General features: G+C 41.8%; 1 protein-coding gene and 2 pseudogenes across 22 annotated transcripts in view; 2 read left to right on the top strand and 1 right to left on the bottom strand.

Moving 5' to 3' along the window:
• Positions 1–24,977, bottom strand: part of STIM1 (stromal interaction molecule 1) — a 238,607-nt gene that overhangs the window by 96,562 nt on the left and 117,068 nt on the right. The window lies entirely within an intron of this gene.
• Positions 7,046–8,295, top strand: HMGN1P21 (high mobility group nucleosome binding domain 1 pseudogene 21; annotated as a pseudogene).
• On the top strand, positions 22,356–23,950 carry HNRNPA1P76 (heterogeneous nuclear ribonucleoprotein A1 pseudogene 76; annotated as a pseudogene).

Below are 24,977 nucleotides of genomic sequence, written 5' to 3'. Positions count from 1 at the left end.
ACCAAGACCTGTTCTCCACCTTGCCTCTCCCAACTCAATGACACAGAAACTCCACTGCACACTGATGCAGCTAAACACAGACCTTCTCTCTCAAGCTCCCTGTTAAAGGGTTAGCTGCCTGGAATGTCCTGAGCAGGATATTAGCATTTCTGATCCTTCCCCCAGCTACCTGTTACTGAGGCTAAGTTCTAAGTGAGTGCAGCTAAAAGGTGGGCCTCTTTTGTCCCGTTTAAACCCCACTCATAGGACGAGAGCTTTACCTTGGATGCAGTGCCACTAAGAATACTGGAGCCACAACTGGCATTGCCCTGGCTCATAAGATGGTGATTACACTCTGGGAGAAGAAAACCAAAAAGACCTGAGGCTACTGCCACCCCTCCACCAAGTCCTCAGCTCCTAAAGTGGTGGTGTCACTCAGAAGCATGTCATTGTCCCCCACCCTAGCTCCAGAACCGTGACTCAAAGATTTTGCCTGGCCGAGGAAGCAGGCTATAAAACAAAGAGATCTGAATCTCTTCCCAGGGGAAATGACCTCATCTGTGACAGAGTGTAGAGAATTTCAAGACTAAGGGTAGGGTACTCTCAAAAGAGTAGAAGTTGTGGTGAAAGGAAAAGATTAGCAGATTCATTGGAGATATAGGCTAAACTGTAGACTAGAGAATTTGCTGGAGATAACTAGGGAAAGAGACAGCTGGGAGGAGTCTCTCAGGGTAAGAACAAATTTCACCAGCCTGGGCAACATAGGGAGACCCCATCTTCACAAAAAATTTAAAAATTAGCCAGGCCACCTGCACATCCTGCACATATATCCCAGAACTTAAAAAAAAAAAAAAAAAAGAAGCCAGGTGTAGTAGCACACACCTGTGGTCCCAATTACTCAGGAGGCTGAGGTAGGAGGATCACTGGAGTCCAGGAGGTTGAGGCTGCAGTGGGCCATGATCACGCCACTGCACTCTAGCCTGGGTGAAACAGTGGGACTCTATCTCCAAAAACAAACCAAAAAAGAACAAATCTCAAACACTGACCTCAGGAACTATCCCTTCAAAGGAACCCTAATATAGTTGGATTAGTCTGGGAAGCAATTTATGCCTCAGGGCATTGCTGAAAAGAGCAGAGCAACCAGATGGCAATTAGTGAACCTAAAAAGCTGGGTGTGGCCAGGGAAAGAGACAGTCAAAGTTCTGCCCAAACCATTATCATCCAAATATGACTGTGGGCATACCAAAGTCCTCTGAGGAGCAACATCAGAGGATTCACACTGTGGGAGGAGGGGGATCAACCACTTAAACAATCTAGCCAGTCATTAAATAAATAAACAAGCAAATAATAATAAGCCCCAGAGGAATCAGACAAGTACCCAAAGTTGCTACAATATATTATCAAAAATGTTCAGCTTCAAACAAACAAACAAACAAAAAACAAAGAAACACGAAAGTGTGACCCATATACCAGAAAAAAAGTAGGCAACAGAAACTCTCAGTAAGAGGGACCAGATGTCAGATTTAACAGAAAAAGACTACAAATTAGCCATTATAAATATGTCCAAAGATTAAAAAAAAAAAAATCATGATTTTTAAAGAGGTAAAGGAATGCATGATGTCAATGATGCATCAAATAAAGAATGTCAATAAAGAGACAAATTATTGTTTTAAAAAAAGAACCAAATGGATGTTCTGGAGTTGAAAAGTACAATAACTGAAGTGGAAAATTAGGACAGGGGCTAAATAGTAGATCTGAACTGGCAGCAGGAAGAATTAGCAAACTTCAAGAGAGACTGATAGAGATTATACAATCCTAAAAACATAGAGAAAAAGGAATGAAGAAAAATGAACAGAGCCTCAGAGAAATGTAGAACACCATTAATCACACCAATATATGAATACCAGAAGGGGAAGATAAAGAAAAAGGAGCAGAAAGACTCACACCTGTGAGAGGCCAAAGTGGGTGGATTGCTTGGGGCCAGGAGTTAAAGACCAGCCTGGACAACATGGCGAAACCACATCTCTACTAAAAATACAAAAATTAGCCGGGTGTGGTGGTGTACGCCTGCGATCCCAGCTACTTGGGGAGGCTGAGACATGAGAATCGCTTGAACCCAGGAGTCAGATTGGAGTGAGCTGAGATTGTGCCACTGTACTCCAGCCTGGGTGACAGAGTGAGACTATGTCTCAAAAAAAAAAAAAAAGAAAGAAAAAGGAGAAGGAAAAATATTCAAAGAAATAATGGCTGAAAAACCTCCCAAGTTTTGAAAAACATTAATCTACCCATAAAGAAAATCTAATAAACTCCAAATAGGATAAATGCAAAGAGATCCACAAATAGACACATTAAGTAAAACGCTAAAAGTCAAAGGCAATGAGAAAGTTTGAAAGCAGCAAGAGAAAAATGACTCATCACACACATGTGAACCCAGTAAGATTAACAGTTAACTTCTCACCAAAAATAATGGATGCCAGAAGACAATGGGATAACATGATCAAAGGGCTCACTGAAGTGAGAGGATGTCAACCAAGAATTGTACATCCGGCAAAACTCTTGTGAAAATAAAGACATTTCCAGATAAACAAACACTGAGAAAATTCATTGCTAACTGACACACCTTACAAAAAAATACTAAAGGAAGCTCTTTAAGTGACCCCCCCAGATAGTACTTTGAATCCATACAAAAAAGTACCAACAGTGAGCCAGGTACTGTTCTAGGTACTGGAGACATAGCAGTGAACAAAACAGATCCCTTTCCCTTATGAACTTTATATTCTAGGCAATAAATAATAAAACAATAAGTGATTAAATAATAAAATCCAGATGATGATAAGTTCTTAAAAATTATTTTAAAAAGTGATTCATAATGAAGATCTGGGTGCCAGGAATGGAGTAGAGGTGCAGATTTCATTATTAAATAGGGTGGTCTGGGAAAGGTCTCTTTGATAACATGAAGTATGACAAATGACAAAGAATATTTTTGGGGTTTTTGTTTCGTTTTTTGTTTTTTTGAGACAGAGTCTCCCTCTGTCGCCCAGGCTGGAGTGCAGTGGCACAATCTCTGCTCACCACAACCTCCACCTCCTGGGTTCAAGCATTTCTCCTGCCTGAGCCTCTCGAGTAGCTGAGATTACAGGCATATGCCACCACGCCCGGCTAATTTTGTATTTTTAGTAGAGACAGGGTTTTACTATGTTGGCCAGGCTGGTCTCAAACTCCTGACCTCAAGTGATCTGCCCACCTTGGCCTCCCAAAGTTCTGGGATTACAGGCTTGAGCCATCACGCCCAGCCACAAAGTATATTTTATATGGAAATATGAGGGCATAAACTAAATACCTAAGGAAACAATAGTCCAGGCAGCGGCAAAAGCTAGAACCAAGGCCCTAAAGCAGGAATATAAAAGAGTATGAAGGAACACCAAAGAGTGTGGCTACAGTGAGTGACAAGGGGAATATAAGTCAGAGAGGAGATCAGAATAAGTGGGGACCAGATCACAGAGGGCCTTGCTAACTTTTGTGGAGACTGTGGCTTTCACACCAAACAAAAAAATGAAGTTTTGAGGAGAGTGAAATGATCTGGTTTACATTTTTTTTTTTTTTTCAAAAAAGCTCTCTAGCTGCTACATTGAGAATAAATGTAGACATGATTATCTGCTAGGAGACTATTGAGACTTGGTGCCTGCAGTGGAATGATAGTGAGAAATGATTCTATTTTGGATATGTTTTAAAAGGAGAACCCACAGGATTTACCAATAGATGTGGAGTTGAGGAAAAATTATGAATTATTTAGAATATTTTTTGCCCAGGCAATTGAAACAATGGACTTGCCTTCAACTGAGATGAGGAAGGTAGTATATATAGCAGGTTTTGGATGAGATGATATTTAGAATCCATCTAGTGCACATTAAGCTTCAGATGCCTTTAAAACTCTTAGAAGAAAACACAGGGGTAAGTCATCACGACCTTGGATTTGACAATGGTTTCTCAGACATGACCTCAAAAGTATGAGCAGAAACAACAGCAAAAAAATAAATAAACTGGACTTCATCAAAATTTAAAACTTCTGTGCTTCAAAGGATACAACCAAGAAAGTGAAAAAGCAACCCACAGAATGGGAGAAAATATTTTCAAATCACGTATCTCATAAGGGATTTGTACCTAAAATATATAAAGAACTTTAACAACTCAATACCAAAAAGACAACCCAATTTAAAAATAAGTAAAGGTTTTTTATTTTATTTAAATTTTTTTTTGAGACAGAGTCTCACTCTGTCACCCAGGCTAAAGTGCAGTGGCCCAATCTCGGCTCACTACAACCTCTGCCTACTGGGTTCAAGCCATTCTCATGTCTCAGCCTTCTGAGTAGCTGGAATTATAGGCACACATCACCATGCCTAGCTAATTTTTGTGTTTTTTTTTTTGTAGAGACCAAGTTCTGCCACATTGCCCTGGCTGGTCTCGAACTCCTGGCTTCAGGCAATCCACCCGCCACCCAAAGCGCTGGGATTACAGGCATGAGCCACCATACCAGGACGCAAAGTTATTATTAAAAACTAAAAAAAAAAAAAAAAAAAAAACAAAAAAACAGATGTTGGCAAGGCTGCAGAGAAAAGAAAACACTTATACACAGTTGATGGGAATGCAAATTAGTCCAGCCACTGTGGAAAGCAGTTTGGAGATTTTTTTTTTTTTTCTTTTTTTTTTTTTTTTTTTTTTGAGATGGAGTTTCACTCTTGTTGCCCAGGCTGGAGTGCAATGGCACGATCTCGGCTCACCGCAACCTCCGCCTCCCAGGTTCACACGATTCTCCTGCCTCAGCCTTCCAAGTAGCTGGGATTACAGGCATGCGCCACCATGACCGGCTAATTTTTTTGTATTTTTAGTAGAGATGGGGTTTCTCCATGTTGGTCAGGCTGGTCTTGAACCCCGACCTCAGGTGATCCACCCGCCTCAGCCTCCCAAAGTGCTGGTATTACAGGCGTGAGCCACCGCGCCCGGCCACAGCAGTTTGGAGATTTCTAAGAGTACTAAAAATAGAACTACCATTCGATCCAGCAATTCCATTACTGTATACATACCCAAAGGAAAATAAATTATTCTACTAAAAAGACATGTGCACTCATATGTTCACTGCAGCACTATTCACAATAGCAAAGGCATGAAATCAACCTAGATGCCATTAATTAATGTGATACAGGCCAGGCACGGTGATTCACGCCTGTAATACCAGCACTTTGGGAGGCCAAGGCGGGAGGAGAGCTTGAGCCCAGGAGTTCAAGACCAGCCCAGGCAACATGGCAAAACCCCGTATCTACAAAACAATACAAAGAAATTAGCCAGGCAGTGGTGCATGCCTGTAGTTCCAGCTACTCAGAAGCTGAGGTGGGAGGAATGCTTGAGCCCAGGAGATTGAGGCTGCAGTGAGCTGGAATCATGCCACTGCACTCCAGTTTGGGTGACAGAGAAAGACCCTGACTCAAAAAAAAAAAAAAAAAAAGAAAGGAAAGAAAATGTGGTACATATTGACCATGAAAATATTTTGCAGCAACATGAATGCAGCTGGATGCCATTATCCTAAGTGAATTAATGCAGACACAGAAAACCAGATATTGCATGTTCTCACTTGTAAGTGGGAGCTAAATCTTGGGTACACACAAACACAAAGATGTGAACAATAGATACTGGGATCTCCAAAAGGAGTGGGGATAGGGAGAAGGACTGAAAAAATTCCCATTGGATGCTACGGTCACTATCTGCATAAGAAAATCAATAGAATCCCAAACCTCAGCATCACGCAATATACTCTTGTAACAAACCTGCACATGTACCCCGTGAATATAAAATGAAGATGGAAATTTTTTTAAATAATAAAAAATAAAATAAATGAGCAAAGGATCTGAGAAAATATTTCTCTAAAGAAGATATACAAATAACCATTAAGCACATGAAAAGATGTTCAATACCATTAGTCATCAGAGAAATGTAAATCAAAATCATAATGAGATATTGCTTTATACCAACTAGGATGACTGTAATCAAAAAGTCAGACAATAACAAGTGTTGATGAGCATGTGGAGAGAACAGATCCCTTATACACTGCTGGCAGGAATGTAAAAATGGTTTAGCCACTTGAACCATTTTTATATGGAAAATACTCTGGCAGTTCCTAAAACAGGTAAACACAGTTACCATATGACCCAGCAATTCTATTCATATGTATGTACCCAAGAGAAATAAAAGTATACATCCAAACAAAACATAAAACACACGTCCACACAAAAACTTATACATGTCTATAGCAGCAGTTTTCATTATAGCCAAAAAGTGAAACAAACCAGATGTCTATAAATTGATGAATGCTAAACAAAACTGGTATGTCCATGCAATAGAATATTATTTGCCCATGAAAAGAAATAAAGTACAGATATATATACATGAACATGTACAGGCAGTACTGATACAACATGAATGCACCTTGAAAACATGCTAAGTGAAAAAAGCTAGTTACAACAGACCACATATTATATGATTGAATTTACATGAAATGTCCGTAATAGGCAAAACTACAGAAAGAGAAAGTAGATTCGTGGTTGCTTAGGGCTGGGGGAAATGTGGAGAGAGAACAATAGCTAATGCGTATGTGGTTTCTTTTTGAGGTGACAAAAATGTTTTTAATTGACTGAGGTGATGGTTGCACATATCTGTGAATATACTAAAACCCATTGAATTGTATATAAATGGGTGAATTGCACGGTATGTGAATTCTTTCTCCAAAAAGCTGTTTTTTTAAAATTGATAGGTTAGACTAGAGGCCAGATAAACTTTTTCTGTAAAGAGTCAGACAGTAAATATTTTAGGCCTGGTGGTCCATATGGTCTCTGTCGCAACTACACAACTCTGCTGTTCTTGTGTAAAAGCAGCAATAGACAATATGTAAATGAACGAGAGTGGCTGTATGCCAATAAAACTTTACAGACACTGAAATTTCAATTTCATATAAATTTCACATCTTGAAATTCTTCTTTAGCTTTCCCCCTAAACTATTTTAAAATGTAAAAATCAGGGTTCTCCCACCGCCCCTTCTGGGGATCTCAGCAGCTCGGGCGGCGGGAGGAGCGGCAGCGACCAGGCAGCCCAGCTTCGCGAAGGCTCTCGGTGCGCCGCGGCTCACAGACATCCCGCACGCACCCTCCACGCCGCCAGGATGCCTAAGAGCAAGGTCAGCTCCGCGGAAGGGGCCGCCAAGGAAGAGCCCAAGAGGAGATCGGCGCGGTTGTCTGCTAAACCTGCTCCTGCAAAAGTGGAAGCGAAGCCGAAAAAGGCAGCAGCAAAGGATAAATCTTCAGACAAACAAGTGCAAACAAAAGGGAAAAGGGGAGCAAAGGGAAAACAGGCCGAAGTGGCTAACCAAGAAACTAAAGAACATTTACCTGCAGTAAACAGGGAAAAGAAAACTGAGGAGAGTCCAGCCTCTGATGAGGCAGGAGAGAAGGAAGCCAAGTCTGAATAATACCACACATCATACATTATCAGTGGTCCCTGTCTCCCTTCTTGTACAATCCAGAGGAATATTTTTATCAACTATTTTGTAAATGCAAGTTTTTTAGTAGCTCTAGAAACATTTTTAAGAAGGAGGGAATCCCACCTCATCCCATCTTTTAAGTGTAAATGCTTTATTTAAGAGGTGAAATCATTCGCTGGTTGTTTATTTTTTGGTACAACCAGAAAACAGTGTGGGTTATTGAATTATGGGAGGTTTTGACTGTCTTTGCTGTCAGCTTAACACTCCATAGATGGGGGTTAGTTTTTATATCCTATAATACAATGCATATTAAATGACAATATGGAGTCAGCAGCCCTGCATTTAATGTCTTGAACATTTTAAATTACTTCTATTCCCATGTTATTTTTTAGTAGAATTGTTTCCTAAAGAAAACCAGTCCTTGATCATGGCTCTCCCTGTCAGAATTGTGTGTACTCTGTAACATCTTTGGTTGTGGTAGTCCTGTTTTCCTAATCACTTGGTTACTGTGCTGTGAAAGATTAAAAATTTGAATATGTAGTATACATGCTATTCAGTTGTGAATTGGTGGGACATATGTAACAGCTTATCAACATGTGAACATACCGGTACTTGATAGCCTCTTAAGGACAATTTGCTTCCAAATTTTAAGCTGGAAAGTCACTGGAATAACTTTAAAAAAAAAGAATTACAATACATGGCTTTTTAGATTTTCGGTACGTATGTTAAGAATTGTGTACAAATTGAAATGTTTGTACTGATCCTCAACCAATAAAATCTCAATTATGAAAGAAAAAAATGTAAAAATCATTTTTAGTTTGCAGGCTACACGAAAAAAACAGTTTGCTGATCCCTGGACTAGATATAATAAATCCACCCTCTGCTCTGGCTTCAGGTGCTGAGGAAATCTCTCTCCCTGACAATCCCCATGAACAAACGGCAACTTCGATTCACTGCTCAGTTTTCCCTCATGCTACCATCCCTATACATGGCTTTCAAACACCCTGAGAGGATCACAAACCCAGCCAAACACTCAACAGCAGGAAAACCTCTAGGACTCCATTTCCAAAATAGAACACCCACTTCAATAGACTTGGCAAAAAGAATTAGAGCTCATCACGTGTTCCTTATAAATGACACTCACCTTTGGGCAGTGGTATGGGAAGAGGCTTAGGGACAAAGAATATAAGAGAGTAAAACAAACTCATGCCTCTCCCAAGAAGCTCCTGGCATCTAATCAACTCTAAGAGGGGGGATTTAGGCTTATGCATCAATGAGCAATACAAAATATATATACACACTGTGTGTGTGTGTGTGTGTGTGTGTGTGTGTGTGTGTGTCCTTAAGGACAAAATATCCTATTAAGAGTATTGTACTACACAAGAGAAGGCAGAAGAATAGTGCAGGCATTGGGAGTTCCAGAAGGCTTTGTTAAGCACCATTTGTTCTTTCATTTGCCTAACCAATATTTACTGAGTAGTTACTATGTGACAGGTCTTGTGCTGAGATCCAAGGACACACAGATTAATCAGACATATTGAAAGCATCTAGGTGAGACAGATATATAGAAGAGAGTTGGTCCTCGAAGGAAAGAACCACTGTTCTATGCAGAGGAAAGTGTTACCACTCAATCCCAAAGACAGAGCCAAGCAACTTTCTCTCCAACTCCTCCATCCCCATACTGCCTGAGACTGCACAAAGTTTTCCACTCTTAACTGATCACGCAGCTTGGTCAACATCCAGAGAAATCACAAAGCTTATGAAGTGTCACAGAGGAAAAAGAATTTCACAGATAATGTCTTGAATCACATTTCTGCCACTTACCACTGTGTCACCTAGAGCCTGTAAAATGCAAACTACCTCACAGTTACAATGTGGAGAAAAGGAGATAATTTAAGGCACAGTCCCTTACAGTGCCTGTATGTAGAAGATGCTTCATATGTGTTTGACTATTCTGAACCTAGGTCCCCTTGACAAGGGGGCTCATACTATTTATACTGGTTTATCTGAGGAGAAACCTAGTGTCTGAGGATAAACAAGAATAAAGAATATGAGCCCCCTTGTCAAGGGACCCAGCAACTTCTAATCTTACCAGTGACTTCCCAGAGACTTCTAATCTTACCTCTGCCTCCTCAAGACACCAAGTGGCTAGATAAAAGAGGGCATGCCTCTCATCAAGCCAGTGCCAAACTGCTGAGGTGTATGCCTATGTGGATCTATACCTGAGAAGGCCTGATGCATGTTGGGTACTGACAAAAAATTAGAAGAAACTGGATAACACAACAACTATAGAAATTTGCACACAGCTCTATGGTTTACAAAGGATATTTTTCAAGCCTCACATCAGCCATTGAAGGTATATGTTACTGGTGTCCCTATCTCATAGATGAAATAACTATTCTCTAGATACTTCCCTACTTGATGTCTCCCAGAGTTGCCATATTTTTTGCCTCCTGCCTTTACTCGTTAAGTTCCCCTTTCCTGGAATGCTCTTCTTCCTTTCTTCATCTAGTAAACTCCTGCTCATCTTTAAAAACCAAGTTCCAACTTCACCTCCTCTGCAAAACCTGCTCCTGACATACCTTCAGTCAGAATTAGGGCCAGCTCTGTTTACTTCTAGCTTTTCAACTTTAGGATGAAATCCAAGTTCCTCAGTATGGCACACAAATCTGGCTACAGCCTGCCTTTCTAATCTTATTCCCAACCTCTCCCTCCCTGCCCCACTATTACATTTGCTCAAGTTAAAAGAACCACTGACCACAGATTCCCAAGGACATCATACTTGTTACTCCACATGATGTATCATGCTCAGCCCCCTCCCCATGTAAACCCCTATTCATCTCCAAAAATTCATCTCAGGCAATACCTTTTCTGGATAGTGTTTCCTATCATCCTCAGATGGATTAACTCTTTTCTGTACTTCCAGAGCATGCAGGGCTCATCTCTTGTTACAATATCTATGGGGATTGAATATGTATTTTTTTTTGCCTCAGTAATATGTGAGACCTTTCTAGGTAGTAAATTCATCTTATTAGTCTTTAAATGAATATGCAAAGCATATCCAGCATCCAGCACATAGCACACACTAAATATGTTTGAAGAAAAAAGAGAGAAAGAAGGCAAGGAGCACATCAAAAAGTAAGAAAGATTTCAAAGGAGGTATTTATAAGTGAGGAGAAGAACACAAGAATGAATGAAAGGAAATGAAAGGAAACTCACTGAACTTAAGTGAATCAGACAATTCTTCTTAATGCTATGAAGTACAAGTACACTGAATGTGAGGCATATGCAGACACAGACATGCACAGAAGGACTTGAAAAAATACATATATAGTCAAACAAACACAAACACCAGTTAGGTCTGAAGGGAAGCAGGGCCTTGGGAGCCAGCTGCCAATTCCTCCTTAGACAGGAAGAGTCAGAAGTTTTTAATTTCTGAAGCATGGCTTTTCTCTCTCTGCTAGCTTGACCATTCCTGGCTGCTAGGTGATACCTGCATTCTGCCTACCACTCTGTGGGGCCCAGATTCTGCCTAGACTGACAGCATCTTTGGGCTGCTGATTACATTTCTGGCTCTGCTTTTACTTCCAGGTCCTGTGTCCTATACCTCAGGCCAAACCCTTTGTCCCTAACCTGCTCCTTGATCCTCAACCTCATTTATGGGCTTTCTTTCAGCCCCTACTTCCTTGGCTCAGTGTTCCTCTTCTCCCTCCACTTCTTGTCTTACACAGACACATCTAAATGCAGAAAGACACATACCCACACAAGCACAAAATGATGTATACACACATACAAAAAAAACACAAACACAAAGGCACATATAGACATATACACATATATAGACATCTATACAAACAAGTCTTACAAATATATCTCATCCCTGTCATCGACAGGATTACCATCCAGAAAAGACAAAGCAGACTCAATAACAAAGAGGGGGGAAGGAAAACAACAGCCTGCTTAGTGAGAAAGAATTTCCCTATCTGTCAAAGCAAGCCACCGTCGGGTTTTCCTGGAAACATGAGGGGTACCATCTGGGGGAGCTGCTGCCTCATCTTGTATCTGGCTAAGGTACTGGGACAGATTGCAAACTATGCCTACTCTCACTGATACGTAGCTCAGCTTGTCTGGGAACTGGTACCCTTGCCTGCGTGCTGGCTGACAATATGGCTTCTGCTACACCAGTACATATAAGATCACTGCATCCTGATTCCTCTGGAAACTCCCACAGGACCTATGCATACTACCATTACAGCCCTTAAAATGTGCTATTGTCACTGCCTGTTTACATAATTGTGTCTCTCACTAGCCTAGGGCTTGTTCATGGCAAAGAGTATCTTATTGTCATCATTACTTTATAGATGAGGAAAGTGAGTCTCCAAATCACTTGGCCATATATTTAGTACATTGCAAGGTTTGGATTTGAACCCAGGTTGGACTCCAAAGCTCATGCTTAGACTTTTAAAAAGTCAAAGTCCAAATAGTTTATTCTAAAGCTATTCTAATAAACTCACAAAAGTTAGGACTGAATGTATGAGCTGGGCCAAATAACTTGAACTCAATGGAAGTTGCGGCCTATAAACTGATGAGCCACTCCTGGTAGGTGAATTCTACAGCCACCCTATAAGTACTTACAAGGAAGAATGGGAACAGGACATTTCTTTAGCCTAAGGAGCAGGTTTCACTTGAAAAATTATGTCATTCATGGTGTCAGCTATCTCTGTTCTGTCCAAAGGGCCTGAGCAGACTTCAATCCATGCTTTGCCTGAATTAAGAGCAGGGGGTCAGAATGTTCCATGAAGTAGGAGACAAGATGATGACTGCACCAGGATACAGGCAGAGAACTAGAAAGAAAAAAGGCAGAGCAGTGCCTCCAAACTGAAGTCAAAGAAGAATTACTGTAGCAAAAAATATATATACCAGAAACCAATGCTGAAGTAAATTTGCATATAGTAAATTTTTTTAAGAAAGGAGAAAGAGGCTGGACACGGTTGCTCACACCTGTAGTCCCAGTACTTTAGGAGGCCAAGGCGGGCGGATCACTTGAGGTCAGGAGTTCGAGATCAGCCTGACCAACATATGAAACCCCGTCTCTACTCAAAATACAAAAATTAGCCGGGCATGCTGGCATATGCCTGTAATCCCAGCTACTCGCGAGGCTGAGGCAGGAGAATCGCTTGAATCCAGGAGGCGGAGGTTGCAGTGAGCCGAGACTGTGCCACTGTACTCCAGCCTGAGCAACAAGAGGAAACTCCATCTAAAAAAAAAAAAGAAAGGAGAAAGAGGAGGAGGAGGAGCAGAAAGAGAAAAAGCAGCAGCAGCAGTAGCTCCAGGCTGTCAAAGCTGTGTGCAGGGAATGCAAAGAAAAGTTATGTTCAGAATTGGGTCCAGGGACCAAAAGGAGAGCTCTGCTTCTCAGGTGCCGGTATGGCCTCTGGGAGTGATATAGCAGCCATGGGAATCAGAGAGAGGCCCTGAGCACAAGGTTAATCAAGGAAAAATAAAACTAGAGCCACTTGGCTGGCTGTCTTTGACAACTCCTCACATGTAATGTCACATAGTAGGGGTCAAGAAATTGATTCAGGCCCCTGGTATATGGGTAAGAGGGAATTGCCACCAGGGTTGTCCCACAGATTCTTTGACATCTTAACTTCCCCAGAAGCAGTACTAACTACAAAAAAGGAAAAGGAAGGAATAAAAAGAGGGAAAGAGGGAGAAATTCTCCAAAAGAGAATGCTCCAGGACTCTTCAGTCTGACATTCTCAAAAGTCATCTATACCTCCCCAGGAACTGAGGCAACCTCGCTGTCAGTTAGCTAACCACGGATCTGCTTCCAGCAACCATGGTACTTCAGACTTCAAAGCACCACTGCATCTCTATCAAAGTTGGAGGCAGGGGAAATGGAGATAGAGGCAGGGCATGGTGGCTTACACTTGTAATCCCAACACTTTGGGAGGCCAAGGCAGGCCGATTACTGGAAACCAGGAGTTGGAGACCAGCCTGGCCAACACAGAGAAACCCCTTCTCTACTAAAAACACAAAAACATTAGCCAGGCGTGGTGGTGCATGCCTGTAGCCCCAGCTACTCAGGAGGCTGAGGCATGAGAATCACTTGACCCTAGGAGATGGAGGCTGCAGTGAGCAGAGATCACGCCACTGCACTCCAGCCTGGGTGACAGAGCAAGACCCTGTCTCAAAAAAAATAAAAATTAAAAATGGAGATAGAAATCAACATGACTTTCAAAGTGCTTTTCTACAGGGCCCTAAGGATTGTTATGGGCTGGGCTACAGAAAGGCAAGCGAAAGGTGACCACCACTCCAACCAATGCGGTGACACTTTTTTAAAAAACATATTTATTGAGATTTAATTCACATACTAATTGTAGTATAAAACCCCATAGTTTTTAGTATATTCACAGAAGTATACAACTATCACCACAATCTAATTTTAGAACATTATCATCAGCCTGAGGCACATCTGAGTTACAATAACCTCAAAAATGGTTAACAATGAGCTAATTCAGTCTCTTTCCTTATGGGTTATACAGAAAAAAATTACTGTCTGTCTCAGAGATTTCTTGTAAGGATTATATGAGACAGCATATGCAAGAGTACACAGCACAAGCCTAGTACATCATAGCAATGGTAGTACGAGTTAAAGAAGTAGAAATACTGCTACTATAAACTAGACCATAGGCTGGGTACTTGATATACATGATTTCATTTCATCTTTGCCATAATCTTTCAAGGTAGGAATTACTGACTAATTTGACGGTAAGGAAATGAAAGTTCACAGAGTTTAAGAAAATTTTCCAGGCTGGGTGCGTTGGCTCATGTTTACGATCCCAGGATTTTGGGAGGCTGAGGTGGGCAGAGATTGCTTGAGCCCAGGAGTTTTGAGACCAGCCTGGGTAACATGGCGAAACCCCGTCTCTACAAAAAATACAAAAATTAACTGGGCATAGTGGCGTGCACCTGTAGTCCCAGCTACTCAGGAGGCTGTAGTTGGAAGATTGCTTGAGCCCAGGAGTTTGAGGCTGCAGTAAGCTATGAGCATGCCACTGCACTCCAGGCTGGGTGACAGAGCAAGACTCTATTTCAAAACAAAAAAGAAAGAAAAGAAAAGAAAAAAGAAACAAAAAGAAAAGAAAGAGACAGAGAGAGAGAGAAACTTTCCAAAGTCAAACAACTAATAATTGGCAAAAGTATACCTGAAACTATCTTTCTTGCTTTATAAGTACATACTTTTGCTCTACTACATAGCCTTTGGGCATTCTCAGTGTTTTCCTTTTTTTCTTCACTTGTGCTCCTATAGTATGTGTTATTCTTAAAGTCTTTCCTATCATTTTAAGTACAGTAATCTTACCTCCATCCAGATTCTGCACATGATTCATAACATAGGGCAGAAGGGTAGGGAAGAAGGTCACAGAGGAGGTCAGACGTATAGGTCATATACTAACATATCTAGAGCCCAGACTATAGCAACTCCAGAAAAACAACCCAACACTGACTTCAGCTTTTATCCTGACAGGGAACTCACAAGTCCAAAGCACTCTGTCCCCAGTACCATTGACCAGCCCACTCTGTACTCCTCCTTTGCACTAGAGAAACTATTTAAAGGGCATAAAACAATAAGATAGTATCTTTGTTTTCGAATTCAAAATTCAAAAATAACGTCAACTCAGCACCCTTAAGAGAAAGGTCCTGAACCAAACACAATGTTATGAGAAACAGCAATGAATAAAACCTAGTTCATGACCCCTAAAGGAACTCAAAATCTGGTAGGACAGTTAAGGATGGACCCAATTACAATACAGAACAGAGCAACATGACAAACATAAGGTTCATGCCAAGTACTCTCGAACATGAGAAAGGATTACTTCCCACTGTAGGAGAACAAACAAGATTTCTCGGATTGGCTGGGCGTGGTGGCTCACGCCTATAATCCCAGCGCTTTGGGAGCCCGAGGCAGATGGATCACAAGGTCAGGAGTTCAAGACCAGCTTGGCCAACATGATGAAAGAGAGCCTGAGGCAGAAGAATCATCGGAACCTGGGAGGCAGAGGTTGCAGTGAGCCGAGATCACACCACTGCACTCCAGCCTGGGCGACAGAACAAGACTCCGTCTCCAAAAAATATATATATATTTCTTGGATGAAGCAACATTTAATCTAGGCCAGTAGTTCTCAACAAGGGGCAGTTTGAAAATTGACAACTGACAATAGTAACTGGCAATATTTTTGGTTGTCAAACTGGAAGGGGGAAGGGGAAAGGTTTGCTACTGGCATCCAGTATGTAGAGGCTAGGAATGCTACTAAACATCCTACAATGTACAAGACAGCTCCCCACAACAAAGAACTATCTGGCCCAAAATATCAATAATGCTGAGGTTCCGAAACCCTGATCTAGGCCTTGGTGGACAAATGAAATTTCTTTTTCCTTTTGTTTCTATTTGTTTTTTTTTGTTGTTGTTGTTGTTGTTGTTTTGTTCCAGGCATTGCACTGAAATGTGTGGGTTTTTTTTTTTTTTTTTTAAAGAGATGGGGTCTTGTTATGTTGCCCAGCCTGGTCTAGAACTCCTGGCCTCAAGCGATCCTCCTGTCTCAACCAAGTAGCTGAGATTATAGGCATGAACCACCAAACCTGGCTTGATTTTTACAGGCAAAGTGGGAAGCAGAGAAATGCCAGGATAAGGATTTATCTGGAACAGGGGCACAGTGATAAGATATGAAGAGCATGTCTGGGGTGGCTATAGCATAGAGTAAGGAAATACAGTATAACATGAACTAGCAGCATGAGCTAAAGCCAAATGGTGGGAGCATTGAATGACAGAGCAGAGTTTAGATTAATTAAACAAGCAAAAGTAAGCCACTCATTTATAGTTTTATCATCTCTAAAATGGAGTTAATAACACCTAGTTCACAGAGTGGTTAAGGATTAAACAAAACTTTATATGTAATCAGCTTGGCTTGGCACATGGTAGAAGTAATCTGATGAGTTGTGCTTTAATAATGCCAGTATTAGTGCAGGAACACAAAGTTATAGACAAAACAATACAATCAAAATCATTAGGGCACAAAGCAAGGCAATTTCTAATTAAGTGCTAAATCGAGCGATAGAGACTATGTACTATGGGAGTTAGTATTGAGATGAGGAAGATCAGTAGGAATGGGAAAGTCAGGGAAGGTTCATATAAAATGAAGCTGGCACATTCTAGAGGACAACTAAGATTGATACAGACAGGGCTAGGGGTGCAGGGAGGGGCACAAGAGGTTAATTCCAGGTAAGGAGAACTACCTGAGCAAAGAAAGGGGACTGGAAATAAACATAAAATGTTTATAAGACAAAGAAGATTGGAGCCAGACCGAAGCGGTAGGAGGTATGTCCAGAGAATTAACAAAGGTAGCCAAGGTGCAGTGGCTCTCACCTGTAATCCCCGGCAACTTGGGAGGCTGAGGTGAGGGGTTGCTTGAGACCAGGAGTTCAATACCAGACTTGGCAACATAGCAAGACCCTGTCTCTACAAAAATAGTTAGCCTAGTGTGGTGGTGCACACCTGTAGTCCTACCTACTTGGGAGGCTGAGGTAGAAGGATCATTTGAGTCCAGGAGCTCAAGGCTACAGTGAGCCATAATTGTGCCACTGCACTCCAGCCTAGAGGACAGAGCAAGACCCTGACTCTTTTAAAAATATATTTCAATGAAAAACAAAGAAAAGAAAGGCTAAAATCGGATTTAAAGAGATGGAGTGGTAGGTACAGGAAGTTAAAGGAAACAGGAAAAGGAAATCATGCAGGAGACACAGAACCCAAATGTAGGTTAGGAAGATCACTGGCAGCATGTACAACATGGGCTTTCCGGGAGAAACTAGAGGCAGAACACTTAAGGGTTGTCTACAGCTATCTGAATATAAGAAAGTGAGGCCCAGAGCACAAAAGGGAATATAATTATTATTAATTATGGTAATAACATCTGCAAATAACCCAGCTACTTAATCTTCATCTAATTTGGCCCATATTAACCACAGCACTGGGCTTCCTACTCTCTCCCTATATACTACTACCTATAAAGTCCAAGTTCCTCCTGGCACTTTAGATATTGCAAGTGAACCTGCTGACTGCTCCCCTCAGAGTTTAGCTCCCTTAGCTCTGATTCTGTTTGGGGTGGCTATAGCATAGATTAAGGAAATACAGCATAACATGAACTAGTAGCATGAGCTAAAGCCAAATGGTGGGAGCGCTGAAGCCAAATGGTGGCATCGGGAACCTGATGCCAGCTTCCCGAACTCTCACAGCCTCCCAGGACCTAGCATTACTCTGGATGGGACAATGAAAAACATAGAAAACAAGTCTATTTCTACCCCCACTAAACTCTAAACAGGTCTCATGACATTTCTACTCTGTCACTCAGGCTGGAGTACAGTGGCACAATCCCGGCTCACTGCAACCTCCGCCTCCCTGGGGTTCAGGTGATTCTCATGCCTCAGCCTCCCAAGCAGCTGGGATTATAGGCACCTGATACCAACCCCAGCTAATTTGTGTATTTTTAGTAGAGACGGGGTTTCACCATGTTGGACAGGCTGGTCTCAAACTCCTGACCTCAGGTGATCCACCCGCCTCGGCCTCCCAAAATGCTGGGATTACAGGCATGAGCCACCGTGCCTGGCCCAAAAGCCAGACCTTTTTAAAAGTACACAGGCGCCGGGCGTGGTGGCTCACACCTGTAATCCCAGCACTTTGGGAGGCCGAGGCGGGCAGATCACCTGAGGTCAGAAGTTTGAAACCAGCCTGACCAACATGGAGAAACCCCGTCTCTACTAAAAATACAAAATTAGCCAGGCGTGGTGGTGCATGCCTGTAATCCCAGCTACTCAGGAGGCTGAGGCAGGAGAATCGCTTGAACCTGGGAGGCGGAGGTTGCGGTAAGCCGAGATAGTGCCATTGCACTCCAGCCTGGGCAACAAGAGCGAAACTCCGTCTCAAAAAAAAAAAAAAAAAGTACACAGGCATATGTAGGAGGCTGGGTGAGCTGCCAGAAAAGTTGTAGTCCCTATAAATGTGTGATCCTGCTTTATCATGCCCTCCCTCTTAATATCAACCACTTAAGCGAAAACAGAACTACCTCTGCCTCCTACAGTGTCCTGGCCCTAGTCAAGTTAGGCACACTGCTGGGAGTGGCTCCCATGGCTAAATGCTGTGGTGCCATGGGATGGTGATAGAGCTGATATGGAATTTTGCTATACAAGCCAGCCCTCACTATTGTACCCTCATGTTGAGGGAGAAAAAAACATGGCTTTAGCACCTATCACGTACCAGGCATTGTGCTAGGGGCTTTACATACATTAATGTCTCACAACATCCCTCTTCAAATAGCTTAAAAAAAAAATCAAGGCTCAGAAAGGTAAGGTTATTTGCCTAAAGTTGTATAGCCAGTAAGTGGCAAAGCCAAGTTTTGAATACAGGCTTGTTTGCATCAAAATATATGTTCTTTCTGATGATAACGTAAAAACTTTAATTGAGCCTCTTCTATGTGCCAGGCATTGTATTAAGTGCTTTACATGCATTATTCATTTAATATTTGCAACATCTTCATGAAAAGCCTACTACTATTATTACTCCAATTTCTAATGAAGAAACTGAGGTGGAAAGGGATTATGTAACTTCTCTAAGTTTCCACAGCTGGAAGAGGCAGAATGGAGTCTGTATGATTCCAGAGCATAAGCTCATAACCCTGTGTTATACTTCTATACCAGACACCACAGACACTAACAGAAGTCATAAGTAGATCTTGTAGCTTCCTGGATTCATACTGCTACCTACTCATCCTTATCCCCTAAAATGTGTGATCACACCCTTGCTAAGACTCCCATAGCAGAATGATAGCATTCTGCTATAGCAATATTGGTCAGTCATTCAACACAGTGATTAAGCACATATTCTATAACAGACTTTGTTGGGCACTGGGGAAAAGAGAGACAAACCAGATAAGAGCAGTTCTTTCCCTAAAGGGGCTCAAAATACATCAGACAAACATTAAAATACAGCTGTCAGGGGCCAGGCGTGGTGGCTCATGCCTGTAATCCCAGCACTTTCGGAGCTGGAGGCGGGCAGATCACCTGAGGTCAGAAGTTCAAGACCAGCATGACCAACATGGCGAAACCCCATCTCTACTAAAAATACAAAAATTAGCTGGGTGTGGCACTACGCGCCTGTAGTTCCAGCTACTAGGGAGGCTGATGCAGGAGAATCGCTTGAACCCAGGAGGTAGAGGTTGCAGTGAGCCAAGACTGTACCACTGCACTCCATTCTGGGTGACAGAGTGAGACTCCATCTCCAAAAAAAAACAACTGTCAGGCTAGGCGTGGTGGCTCACACATGTAATTCCAGAACTTTGGGAGGCTGAGGCAGGAGGATTTCTTGAGCCCAGGAGTTCAACACCAGCCTAAGCAACATAGTGAGACCCTATCTAAGAAAAATACAACTGTCAGATGCTAGTTGATTTCCTGGATATATAGAGGAAAAGAGAAAAGGGAAAGTAGCGAGTATTCACTGAGCTTGAATTACGTGTCAGGTACTATGCTGGGAACTTTAAAAAAATTAACATATGATGAAATTTAACTTTTTGGCGCATAGTTCCATGAGTTTTAATACATATTTATTAATAGATTCATGTAACTGCCCTTGCAATCTGGACACAGAACAGTTAGGCCATTACTCCCAAAAACTTCCTCCATGCTTTCCCCTTGTAGTCAAAACCTCCCCTACACTAATAACCCCTGATAACCACTGACCTAGTCTCCATCCCTATAGTTTTGCCTTTCTCAGAATGTCATATAAATAGAATCACATAGTATGTAATATTTTGAGACTGGTTTCTTTCCCTCGGATAATGCCTCTGAGATTCACATATGTTGTGTATATTAGTAGTTCATGCCTTTGTTTTGCTTTTTGTTTTTGCCTTTTGTTTTTGCTTTTCCCCACAGGTGTTCATCCAAAAAATTCATGCCTTTATATTGCTGAGTAGTTTTCCATAGTCTGTTTATCCGTTCATACATTGAAGGACATTTGGGTTATGTCCAGTTTTTGGCAATCACAAATAAAGATACTATAAACATTCATATACAGGTTCTACTGTGAATATAAAGTTTCATTTATTCATAGGGTAAATACCTAGAGGAAGAATTGCTGGGACATATATTTAACTTTGTAAGAAACTGTGAAACTTTTCCAGACTGGCGGTATCATCTTGCATTCCCATCAGCAAGAGTTCCAGTGGCTCTTCCTCCTCGTCCAGGACTTGATATTGTCCATTTTTTATTTTTAGCCATTCTAACAGGCATGTGGTGATACCTCATTATGGTTTTAATTTGCATTTCCCTAATGGTTAATAATATTGAGTATCTTTTCATAGCTTATTAGCCATCCATATATCTACTTTGAAGTCTCTGTTCAAATCTTTTCCCATTTTTTATTAAGTGGCTTATTTTCTTCTTCCTTCTTCCTTCTTCCTTCTTCTTCTTCTTTTTTTTGAGGCAGAGTCTCACTTTGTTGCCCAATCTGGAATGCAGTGGTGCGATCTCCACTCACTGCAACCTCCGCCTCCCGGCTTCAAGCGATTCTCCTGCCTCAGCCTTCCCAGTAACTGGGATTACAGGCACGTGTCACCACACCAGCTAATTTTTTTGTATTTTTAGTACAGAGAGGGTTTTGCCATGTTGGCCAAGCTGGTCTCAAACTCCTGACCTCAAGTGATCTGCCTGCCTCAGCCTCCCAAAGTGTTGGGATTACAGGCGTGAGCCACTACCACACCTGGCCTGGCTTATTTTCTATTGTCGAGTTTTGAGAATTCTTTGTGTTGGGAACTTTAAACAGCACTTTTCTCACTTAATCCTGACAACAACGCTGCAATGGTAGGAATCATTAACTACCACTTTACCCTGAGAAAACCAAAGGCAAAGTCACTAGACTACTATAATCTGATCACAGTTCTGCCTAATTTCAAAGTTTTCTTATCACTTAATCACCTGTGACATACAGATCACTAGAACGCAAGCTCCCTAAAAGCAGGGATCTTATCTGTTTTGTACACTGTGGAATCCCTAGCCTTCGAATAGTGCCTGGCTTTAATATGTATTAAATAAGAATTTGTTTAATGACTGAATAAATGCCCTGATTTGCCATGTAGGCTCCAGAAAAGAAAATAGCACTGCTCTCAAAAAGTCTGGTCCAGTCAAGGGGACAATGGTCTTAGGTAGGCCCTTGTCTGCCCAACTCATACTGTTAAGGACAACCTAACAGTACCATCCCACTGCAACAAATCTTTTGCCCATGGAGCAAACCCCACCAGAAGTTTGAACAGAACACAGGTCATGAATTCTCATACTGCCAGCCTGGTAGAACTCCCTGCCAGCTCTGCAAGAAGGGCACCATCACCAATAGAGCCATCTTGCACATCTGAAGGGCCCACAATACATAGCCTCTGCTATCCAGAAGAGAAGCAAGCAAAGATGGCACTTAACCAAACTAGCTGCCCCTACACAAATGATTATATATTTTTCTTTTCTTTTAAGAGACTCTTAAAAAGTCTCTTTTAGGGTCTCTGTGCCAATATCTGGCTTTTTTTTTTTTTTTTTGGTAGAGATAGAGTCTCCCTATGTTGTCCAGGCTGGTCTTGAACTCCTGGGCTCAAGCAATCCTCCTGCCTCAGCCTCCCAAGGTGCTCAGATTACAGCTGTGAGCCACCACAACTGGCCTGATTATATATTTTTCTATAACATGCCTACTGAGTCTCAGTTTGCCCTAAGTCTAATTTCACAGCAGAGTATATTCAGCAATTAGAAACGAGAATGGCTTTTTCTACCCATGGATGCCGCTGAAAACATCATTAAAGTCTCTCTTCCCACTGCTATCATGTCTAAGACAGAGTCTCTTAAGTAGTCCCAACAGCTGTAGAAGTTCTTCATCAGAGAGTTGAGCTTTGAAATGACCAGTGAGGGTCCAATGAGCCATTCTGAGCAACAGGGAGCACTCACAGACTGTGGTAATGAGAGATCCAAATACCAAGTGCTCCAGGGGCTTTGGGTTTGTCACATATGCCACTGTGGAGGAGGTGGATGCAGCCGTGAATGCAAGGCTACATAAGGTGGACAGAAGAGCTGTATCAAGAGAAGATTCTCAAAGACCACATGCCCACTTAACTATGAAAAGGATATTTGTTGGGGGCTTTAAAAAAGATACATTTTAAATTTAAAAAAATTTGTTTTAAATTAGCTGGGTATGGTGGCATGTGCCTATAGTCCCAGCTATTCAAGAGGCTGAGACAGGAAGATCGTTTGAGCCTGGGAGGTAAAGGCTACAGTGAGCCATGCGCACACCACTGAACTCCAGCCTGGCCGACAGTGTGAGACTTTGTCTCAAAATAAATAAACAAATATTTTTAAAAGAAATACTGGCTGGGTGCAGTGGCTCATGCCTGTAATTCTAGCACTTTGGGAGGCCGAGGCAGGGGATCACTTGCCCAGGAGTTCAAGACCAGCCTGGGCAGCATGGCAAGACCTCATCTCTACAAAAAATACAAAAATTAGCTAGGTGCAGTGGTGCGCGCCTGTAGTCCCAGCTACTCGGGAGGCTGAGATGGGAGGATCACTTGAGCCCCGGAGGTCCAAGCTGCAGTGAGCTGTGTTCACACCACTGCACTCCAGCCTGGGCAACAGAGCAAGACCTTGTCTCGAGAGAAAAAAAAAGAAATACCATACTGTGAATGGCCACAACTATGAAGTTAGGGATGCCCTGTCGAAGAAAGAGATGGCTAGTGTTTCATCTAGCCAAAGAGGTCGAAATGGTTCTGGAAACTCTGGTGATGGTCGTGGAGGTGGTTTTGGTGGGAATGACAACTTTGGTCATGGAGGAGAAACTTCAGTGGTTGTGGTGACTTTGGTAGCAGCCATGCTGGTGGTGATCTGGTAGCAACAGGGATGGCTATAATGGATTTGGTAACAACAGTGGTTATAGAGGGGCAGCCCTGGTTACGCTGAAGGAAGCAGAGGCTATGGAAGTGGAGGCAGGATTATGGAAATCAGGGCAGTGGCTACAGCAGGAGTGTCAGCTCTCACAGCTATAACAACGATGGAGGCAGAAGCAGCTTTGTTGGTGGCAGTGAAAGCAATTTTGGAGGTGGTGGAAGCTACAATAATTTTGGCAATTATAACAATCAGTCCTCAAATTTTGGATGCACGAAAGGAGGAAACTTTGGAGGCAGAAGCTCTGGATTCTATACTGGCCAAAACACAAAACCAAGGCAGCTATGGTGGTTCCAGTCAGTAGCTATGGCAGTGGCAGATTTTAATTACTGCCAGAAAAATACTTAGCAGAAGAGAGCCAGAGAAGTGACAAAGAAGCTACAGGTTACAACAGATTTGTGAACTCAGCCAAGCACAGTGGTGGCAGGGCCTAGCTGCTACAAAGAAGACATGTTTTAGACAATATTAATGTGTATAGGCAAAAAAAAAAGTAGGACTGTGTTTGTGACTAATTGTATAACAGGTTATTTTAGTTTCTTTTCTGTGGAAAATGTAAAGCATGCCAACAAAGAGTTTTAGTGTAGATAATTTTTTTTACTCATGCTGTTGATTGCTAAATGTAATAGTTTGATCGTGATGCTGAATAAATGTGTCTATAAAAAAAAGAAATGAAAATGAATCAAAGAAGAGATAAAACTATAAGAAGATAACTATAAGAGGCAATCATAAGAATGTATATAGGAATCTAGGTACTGGGGTAATAGTGCAAGAGGCCCTGAAGACATGCTTTGATTCATACAACGAAAAGTTAACACTCTAGTCACAATAATCTGTAGGAATAAAGACTTACTTCAGAAATGGCAAAAATTTTAAAAGATCTGTAACTGGGGTTACAGTCCAGTTATGCAGAAAAGTTACCAGTAGGAGGCTGAATACATGAGGCCTCAATAGAGCACCCCTTCAGACTTCTACTAAGGCTCTTGAGTAATCAGCAAGGCTTTTAAGATGACTTATAAAAATCTCAGGTCCTTCATCAGAACCCAAGGAAATGAAGCTGAAGCAGGAGAACAAGGGGAAAATTAACCAGCCTTCCAACTTTGTCTGCCTCATTCTAAAAGTTACATAGTAGACCATTTGTCATCCATGCTGTCCCACAAAGAGTTTTTGTTTATGATTTATGACAGGTTTATGCTACTTCTACTTGAATATCTATATTTCCCATGTGGTTTTTATGTTTAATATTAGGAGAGCAGGGCCGGTTAACATTTAGGGAGTTATCTGTTTCCATTTTGAGGTGGCCAATATGGAAATGTGGAATTTTTCTAAAGGTTATAAATGTTTGGCATAGTACTTTTGGTACATTGTGGCTTCACAAGGGCCAGTGTTAAAACTGCTTCATGTCTAAGCAAAGAAAACTGCCTACACATTGGTTTGTCCTGGCAGGGAGTAAAAGGGA

The sequence above is a fragment of the Homo sapiens genome, chromosome 11, assembly GCF_000001405.40.
Source record: "Homo sapiens chromosome 11, GRCh38.p14 Primary Assembly".
Lineage (NCBI taxonomy): Eukaryota > Metazoa > Chordata > Mammalia > Primates > Hominidae > Homo > Homo sapiens.
Note: the sequence above shows the minus strand (reverse complement) of the source record. Positions and strands in the feature narration are given on the sequence as shown.